This window comes from Homo sapiens, chromosome 2, assembly GCF_000001405.40.
Source record: "Homo sapiens chromosome 2, GRCh38.p14 Primary Assembly".
NCBI classification, from domain to species: domain Eukaryota; kingdom Metazoa; phylum Chordata; class Mammalia; order Primates; family Hominidae; genus Homo; species Homo sapiens.
The window spans coordinates 83968250-83977695 of NC_000002.12; the positions used below are offsets into that span (position 1 = coordinate 83968250).

General features: G+C 39.7%; 1 annotated feature.

Annotated features, from left to right (window-relative positions):
* Nucleotides 852-1170: a transcriptional cis regulatory region, noted in NCBI's record as "candidate enhancer chr2.2992 targeted for multiplex CRISPR interference". NCBI's record gives its function as "positively regulates TMSB10 gene expression in K562 cells {active_cell/tissue: K562}" and the evidence as "EXISTENCE:mutant phenotype evidence [ECO:0000015][PMID:30612741]".

Sequence of the window (9446 nt, forward strand, 5' to 3'; positions counted from 1 at the left end):
CTTTGAAGTGATAGTTTCTGAGATCACTGTTTGATTTTTGTTGTTACCCCAACAGAACTCCTGCCACATGACACATTCCTTGGTTTTCTCCTGTAATCTAGCTGGCTACAGGTTAGTCTATGTATCATTCAGAGGTCTCTAGAGAAATAGAACCAGTCATAAGTGTATAAAGAAAGAGATTTATTTTAAGACATTTTATATCAAGAAATCAGCTCATGAAATTGTGAAGCATGGCAAGTGCAAAATCTGCAGGGTCAGCCAGTAGGCTGGGAACTTAGAAAACAGTAGATGCTGTGGTTGGAATCTGAAGGCAGTCTGCTAACAGAATTCCCCCCTTCTCAGAAGAGGTTAATCAGTCATTTTCTTAAGGCCTTCAACTGATTGAATGAGGTCCACCCACAATATAGAGGGGAATCTGTTTTTCTCAAAATGTACTGAATTAAATGTTAACCTCATCTAAAATATACTTCTACAGCAATATCCAAACATGTTTGACCAAATGCTTGGGTACTATGTCCTAGCCACATTGCCACATAAAGTTAACCATAACAGCTGGTATTCTGAATCATATTCCAATTGCCTTTCACCACAATCTCTACCATTTTTAAGATTGTTTTCAAGCTTTGGGGGTTGAACCTCTTCATTCTCTTCCAAGTGAAGTCAGTTCTTTTGAAAAAAGAATTGAAGCTATCTATATTACGTCCTATTTCTCTCCCAGCAAAGTCTCTGAACCAGGGATCTGAGGCTGGGAGTGAGGATGTGCCAAGCTTCTCTGTGGGTGATACTCGTGTTTTAGAAGCTCAGTGCTTCATGGGGGGCAGCTGTCTGGGATCCTGTTGTCTCTCCTCTCTTGGCATGAAACCACCAACTCATGATCCAGAAAAGAGTGGTCATGGCCCCAGTGGTCTCAGGTGCTGCACCCAAGTTACAGCCTCTGTTCCATGAGAAAAGGCTAAGCAGAAAAAGGGAGCCCCCGCCCTCAACCTGGGACTTATCTTCAGCAACCAGTAACTAGGGGCAGGATGAAAATGCTGATAGCATGCTCCCCCCAAGAAGCGAGCCCTCCTTGTGGGTGCTGGGGTGAGCAGGAACCTGTGTCCTTGGCTGCAGCAGTCTAGAGTGGAGGATTTGCCTTGCTGGGTTGGGGGGAAGGAGTCCCGCTTAAAATATCACAGATTTCTCACCTTTCTTGCTGAATTCTTATCCATATTTTTGAATAAATGTTTCTTCACTTGCATTTTGGCCTTAGGATCATTTTCCAGAGGATTTAAACAGTTTTTTAAAAATAGTTTTTACTAGTTTCACTGCAGAGCAGGTCAGGAAGGTCTTCACACTCTCATACTGGAAGTTGATCTCCCTTTTTCTTTTTAAAGTATTAATTATTTATAGAAATTTGATAATATAGCAGTATTAATGGCTAATATTTATTGAGTGCCTACTACAGTACATTTGCTAGTCCAGTTAATCTATATTATTTGTTATTATCAAAGTAACCTTACCAAATATTATACATTTATACATACATATATGCATATATATCTGAATGTGTATATAAATGTATGCATATGCATGTGTGTATATATTTATATGTATAATGATGTAATGGTATAGGAATACATATTTTTAAAGAAAAAAACACAATTAAAATAGGGATGGACCTACAAGAAGAAACATTTCTTCTTTTTTCCAATTTTGCCAGAAAAATGTACTGTCTAATAGTTACTGTGTTCAGTTACTTGAAAGATGGCCTTTTTCTTACATTATTAATCTTCATGAAATCCTTCTGGAAGTGACAATTGCAACCAAGCATTTAAAAATCCTGAAAATGCCAGCCAAAGTTGTGCGTGGTGTCCCATCTCTGCCATTAGGACTGTTTTGCCAGCTGCTTGTTGCAGAAACTTAGAAGTTTCTTAACTTCTAAGTGAGCAGCTAAGTTTTAAGATGAGAGAACAGTTGGGAATAATTCAAATGCAGCTTAATTTTTCTTTGGGGGTTGACCAATGCTGTTCTCATCATAGATTCATAGGTGAACTCAATAAGCACAAAAATACAAGCTATTTTTTTTTAAACAAGTGCTTATCTTTATGCAGAGAAGTCTTGCAAATGTCAGCCTGGAGGAAACATTTATTCTGAATATGTGCTCAGAAGGAGGCACTCCTCTGGCTTAGTCACCTCATGTGCTTTCTGCCTGGGATCCACTGAATGCTACAGGACTTAAAGGCTAAGTGATGATTTGCAAGTATCAGTTGGCCCAGCGGAGGGAACTGGGACAGTGGAAGCTGAGAATAGCAGCTTAGTCAAGGTTGAAAGGTAACCTTGGATATAAGGAAAGAACAGACAGGAGCCATAACTAGTTATAAGCTGAAATCTAACAGGAGGAACCATTGCTTCTAGAGTTGTACAGCTGAAGGTATAGTGGGAAAGAGACATAGTGGAAAGAAAAGGGAAGTCAGTTTATAATCGGAATTAGAACACTGGCTACAACTAAATAAAGAGATAAGCAGACATTGAATCCCTGAGAGCCTAACTTAGGCAACCCAGCAGTTTGCCAAAGCTTGGAGTTAACACTGGGATATTGGGGAGAACGTTCTAAAATAAAGAGGGATGGACTGTATATCAGCCTTGGTTTGCAGGTTCGTTAATTTATTTAGCAAATAATTTTTGAACACCTATTGGGTGTCAATACTCTTGTAAGCATGGGGAGACAGATAATGACCAAGACAGAAGGACCTTTTTTTTTTTTCATTCTATAATTGAGGTGGGGGGAGGGAGAAGAGAACAATATAAACAAGGGAAAAAAGTATAGCGATGACATTAAGTACACATAAAAAGACAAACAGAATAAGAGAATGCAGCACTGGGATGGGGTTATAATCAGGGGAATGGCATAATCAGATTTGCATTATTAAAAGTCTAATCTTACTGCTGTGTAGTCAGTTTATTTTAAAGGAGCCAACGGAGACAAATTAAGAGTTTATGGCAGAGATCAGGTGAGAAACAGTGCTGCTCTGAGCTGTAGAGTATAGGCACAGTGTGCAGATGTAGTGTGTAGTGTGTAAGTACAGTGTATGGTGTGTAAGTGTAGCTGTGGAAATGGAAAGCAGGGGTCATTTGGGGGATATTTGGAGATAGAAGCCACGGGGTTTGTTGTTTAACTAGATGGAAAGGTTAAAAAAAAGGAAGAGATCAATGAGAATGCCCATGTTTTTAAATTCGTAAGTGGGGAACATTGTGGTGTCATTAACTGAGATGGAAATGACCGGTTCAATTTATTTCTAGGTCACTGGTATCTGCTTAAAATGGGTTCTGTCCCTCAACTGGGAATGTTACAGATGTAAGGGCAATTAACTAATCATGACCATGTCTTTTTATTTTATCCTCTAGAAATTAGGAAGTGACATTGGTAGACTACCTCAGTGGTGAACATGCATGTGTCTTAGCCTGGGTCTCCAGGAAACAAAGCGTGAGTCAGAGTATTTACTGGAAGACAGAGATAACCAAGGCAATTTTATCTGGGCCAGACACACACAAGGATAAAAATCCATCTGCAGAGTGTGCAGGGGTAAGGCCAACCTTGAAGCTTCACGCTACTATCAATCTTGCCACATTAAGATGGTCTTTATAACCTTGTTACATTATACTCTCCATTTCCCTTCCCCTGACTAATATAATTGCAAATGAAGCTAAATTTTCATAGAAATGCTTTGGATTCCTTTTTGGTCAAATAAGGCAAGTCTCAGCAGCTTAAGTTAGTTTAACTTCGCTTTGCAAGTTAGATGAGCACTTAATGAAAAAAGCGTGGAGATTTCTTTCCAATTACTGGAACACCCTTAATGATCTAGAGATTAGCTATAGATCTGAATTATAATCAAGGGAGGAAAAAATGAGATTGCATTGGAATTTTTTCAAAATTAACCTGAGATTACTTTTTAAAAAATGCGAGCTCAGGGTAAATCACATAGGGTAGAAAAATAAGCTTCAATTATCAGCTAAGAGAAGACTAGGCAATTTGGGTAAATGACCTGAGGAGCAAATAGAGTGAATTCTATACTAAATATGAGTCAGCAATTCAGGAATGTCAAGTCGAAGCATGGCGTCTGGAGAAAGAACTAAAACAGAATAAGCTGTAGGAACCTGAGAAGTTAATAAGACTAGAGTATTCAACTTAAAGCCTTGGAATTTAAAATACAGCACCTCCCAAGAGAAAGGAAGGGGGCCTTATGTAATGAATGCTGAAGTCAGAGGATTTGGTTCTGAGCCAGCTTTGTTACTAATAAGCTATGAAACTTCGGCAATTCACTTAATTTCTTTAAGCCCTAGGTTGCTCATCTATAAGATTTTAATATTGAACCTATGTTCATTGCTCTAAGGAAAAGTTATTTGAAATAAGTTAAAAAGGACTATAAAATATAATACACTCTTAATAGCTCTGTTAGAGGAGATATTACTAAGAAGAAAAATAAAAATATTTAGGACATTAGCAAATGCAATAAAACCAGAAAAGAAGAACTGGCTACCTAATTTTGTGGAACCCAGTGAAAAATGAAAACGTGGGCCCCTTGTTCAAAAAATATTAAGAATTTTAAGATGGCAACAGTAGAGTGAAAAATCAAGCATAGTGACTATCCGGGCATGAGCCCAGTGAGACCACACAGGGTGGGTATCCATGAAGCTGGTTCTGCAGAGAGAGAAGGAATATATGCCGTTCTGCATGTCCCACTGGGGTAGAACTTGTACATTATTGCTCCAACAGTTGTGTTACAGCATAAATTGTAATTTCTCCCTTGGTAGGCTACTGTAACTCTCAATTACCTAGCATCTTTCAGATTCAGGTTTTGAAAGGCATGGCAAGAGCCAATAAAGTGCTGGGAGTTCTGACTCCAATAACTAGAGAAAAAAAAAGTCTTAGAGTATATGTGGCAACTGTCTTAAATATTTGAAAGGTTGCCATAAAGAAGAAAAGACCGGATATTCTTTTTATTCTGGAGGGCATAACTATGAGCAAAGATACCAAATAATATTTTACAATGATCAACATATGAAAGCAATTTCTAGCAAAGACAAATGTCCAATAATTTGACATAAGCAGGTCTCAGTTACCAGAAGTTTTTAAGCAGAGGTAAAAGACCACTTTCCAGGGATGTTGTAGAAGGAATTGTTGCAAGTAAGGGGGGTTAGAATACTTGACTTGTAACTTTAGTATTCTTTATTTCTATCCTAGCTTGGGAAGTAGCCACAATAGAGCTTAAGAATAAGAAAGAATATGAAGACTTGCGGAGGTGAAGAACCAAAGGAGGGGTTAAAGTTGGGGTAGATGTTGATGGCAGAAAATATCTAAATTTTGGATGACAATGTGAACTTACTCAAAATAGTTTTATTTCTCCATCTGAATTAGAAATTGAGACTCAAAGAAAACTAGAATTAAAAGGAACACCAAAATTCATCTAATTCATATAGCTAAAAAGGAATCATGATAGAAGTTAAAATAGTGGTTAGAAACTATTATATCTCTGGAAAAGGCACAGACTGGGAAGGCATGGAGAACTCCCGGGGTGTTGGAAATATTTCACACAATGCTTCTCGACTTAAGATGGGCCTAAGTCCTGATAAACTCATAGTAAGTTGAAAATGCATGTAATATGCCTAACCTCTCAAACACCATAGGTTAGTCTAGTCTGCTTTCAGTAAGCTCAGAACATTTAAATTAGCCTACGATTGGACAAAAATTAGCTAACACAAAGCCTGTTTTATAATCAAGTGTTGAAAAGTTCATGCAATTTATTGAATAATTCATCACATATTGCAATAAGTGTTCCACATTCAAACCATCATTAAGTCAAAAAATCGTTAAGTCAAACCATCCTAAGTCGGGGACTATCTAACGTGTCTTGACCTGAATGATGTTCACACAAGCATATACATAAGTAAAAAATCAAGATATACACCTAACATTAGTATACTTTATGCACTTATATGTTATGCCTCAATTTTTAAAAAAAGTAAAATATCGTCAGAATCTCTGTCTGGGATGAGGTCTAAAGTCCTCATGTTTCACAAGTTCTCTAGCTGATTCTTATACAAACTCAAATTTGTGAACCACATCAATTTACAAACAAATAGAAGAAATCCCAGAGAAGTAAATCAATTTTCCAAAGTCTATTCTGCTAGATAATGAAGCTTTCAAAGCCAGGACTTCTAGGAATTAAAATAAATAATCCTTATAATAAACCATGAGAGTAGTCATTGTCACTGCCAAGCGTACAGACTGATCCAAGATGACACTGCAGGTTAAGGGCAGATTGAGACCAAACAGACCCTTTGGCCTTTAAAAAGGGAGTTCACCTAAAACTCAAAAGGCCTAAAAAAGCTGGATTAAGACTATTCAACTTTATTTTCTAGGTAATTTAAAGTCATTGAAAGTTTTTGAAGGGAGCAAGTTACAATTACAGCCAGGCCTTAAGAATAAAAGTGATAAATAAGTAGATTAGATCAGATGTATAAGAATTCAGAGTGACTAGAAGACCAGTCCTAAATTAGTATAGGAGTGGTATAAATGAAGATAAATGTGCAGCTATAAAAGTTTAGAGGTAGAGGGTGGGAGGAAAGGGGAGGGAGAGCATTAAGACAAATACCTAATGCATGAGGGGCTTAAAACATAGATGATGGGTTGATAGGTGCAGCGAACCACCATGGCACATGTATACCTATGTAACAAACCTGCACATTCCACACATGTATCCCAGAACTTAAAGTAAAATTAAAAAAAAAAAAAGGAAAAGAAAGTTTAGAGGTAGAATCAGTGACAGTAATAGTAATAATTAGTAACATTTATTGCCAGAGGCATTTATTTTATAATTTGGCTCTGGGTACTGTTCCCACATTTTATAGACGAGGAAACTAAAGCAAAGGGAGAGGACAAATAACATGTCAAGACATAGCTAGCAAGTGGCAAACCTAGATTTGAACCCAGATCTGTTTGGCTGCAACTGCTATGTTATAATAAAGAGAAGGGTAAGAAGAAAGTCAAAGATGACACAGTTTGGGTCACTGGGTGACAATGAACTGGCACTATCATTAAAAGATAGGATGTACTGAAGAAAGAACAGATTTGATGGCAAATAGGATGAGTTCAATCTATTTGCTTTAACTGTGAGGGTCATTAATTTCTAATAAGTTCCTACATTAGCGTGTGTTACAACATCACTGAACAAAGGAGAAAGGGACAAAGCAGTGCTTTAGTAGCTGATATTTTAAAACCAGCTTTACAATGCTTTTGCAAATAACTAGTTTCATTAAAATGTATTTAGCTATAAAATTCTGCTGGAATGCTAATATGCCTTCTGCAAAGAAGTTATAGGTATTACTATAAGCTTCCATTTATTTTTCACATTCCACAACCAGGTTCACCTTCCATTTGGAGCATAGACTTCAGAATGTGATGCTACCACACACATGTATTTGTTGCATATACCAATTCAATGCACCTGACCAAGATTAGAAAGATATCACTGTGGTATCAACTGTATTGTGTCCTCCCCAAAATTGATATGTTAAAGCTTTAACTCCCCAGTATCTCAGAATGTGACTGTATTTAGAGATAGGGTCTTTAAAGAGTTAAAGTTAAAATGAGGTCATTAGGGTGGGCCCTAATCAAATGTGATTGGTGTCCTGATAAGAAGAGATTAGAATACAGATGAAAGACTATGTGAAGACACAAGGAGGAGACAGCCATCTGCAAGCCAACAAGAGAAACCGAAGAAGAAATCAACCCTGCCAACACCTTGACCTTGGACTTTCAGCCTTCAGAACTGTGAGATAATAAATTTCTGTTGTTTAAAACACCAAGTCAGGCTGGGCACAGTGGCTCATGCCTGTAATCCCAGCACTTTGGGAGGCTGAGGAGGGCAGATCATGAGGTCAAGGATCGAGACCAGCCTGGCCAACATGGTGAAACCCCATCTCTACTAAAAATACAAAAAATTAGCTGGGTGTGGTGGCATGCACCTGTAATCCCAGCTACTCAGAAGGCTGAGGCAGGAGAATCGCTTGAACCCAGGAGGCAGAGGTTGCGGTGAGTGGAGATCATGCCATTGCACTCCAGCTTGGGTGACAGAGCAAGACTCTGTCTCAAAAAAAGACACCCAGGATAGTGGAGCCAAGATGGCCGAATAGGAACAGCTCCATTCTACAGCTCCCAGCGTGAGCGACACAGAAGACGGGTGATTTCTGCATTTCCAACTGAGGTACCAGGTTCATCTCACTGGGGAGTGCCAGAGAGTGGGTGCAGGACAGTGGGTGCAGTGCACCGTGCGTGAGCCGAAGCAGGGTGAGGCATCGCCTCACCCGGGAAGCTCAAGGGGTCAGGGAATTCCCTTTCCTAGTCAAAGAAAGGGGTGACAGACGGCACCTGGAAAATTGGGTCACTCCCACCCTAATACACCAGACTTCCAACAGGCTTAACAAATGGCACACCAGGAGATTATATCCCGCACATGGCTCAGAGGGTCCTATGCCCACGGAGCCTCACTCATTGCTAGCACAGCAGTCTGAGATCAAACTGCAAGGCGGCAGCAAGGCTGAGGTGGGGGCGCCTGCCATTGCTCAGGCTTGAGTAGGTAAACAAAGCAGCCAGTTAGCTCGAACTGGGTGGTGCCCACCACAGCTCAAGGAGGCCTGCCTGCCTCTGTAGGCTCCACCTCTGGGGGCAGGGCACAGACAAACAAAAGACAGCAATAACCTCTGCAGTCTTAAATGTCCCTGTCTGACAGCTCTGAAGAGAGTAGTGGTTCTCCCAGCATGCAGCTTGAGATCTGAGAACAGGCAGACTGCCTCCTCAAGTAGGCCCCTGACCCCCGAGTAGCCTAACTGGGGGGCACCCCCCAATAGGGACAGACTTGACACTTCACATGGCCGGGTAGTCCTCTGAGACAAAACTTCCAGAAGAACGATCAGACAGCAGCATTTGTGGTTCACCAATATCCGCTTTTCTGCAGCCACCACTGCTGATACCCAGGCAAATAGGGTCTGGAATGGACCTCCAGTAAACTCCAACAGACCTGCAGCTGAGGGTCCTGACTCTTAGAAGGAAAACTAACAAACAAACAGAAAGAACATCTACACCAAAAACCCATCTGTACGTCACCATCATCAAAGACCAAAGGTAGATAAAACCACTAAGATGGGAAAAAAACAGAGCAGAAAAACTGGAAACTCTAAAAATCAGAGCGCCTCTCCTCCTCCAAAGGAATGCAGCTCCTCACCAGCAATGGAACAAAGCTGGACAGAGAATGACTTTGACGAGTTGAGAGAGGAAGGCTTCAGAAGATCAAACTACTCCGAGCTAAAGGAGGAAGTTTAAACCAATCGCAAAGAAGTTAAAAACTTGGAAAAAAAATTAGACAAATGGATAACTAGAATAACCAATGCAGACAAGTCCTTAAAGGACC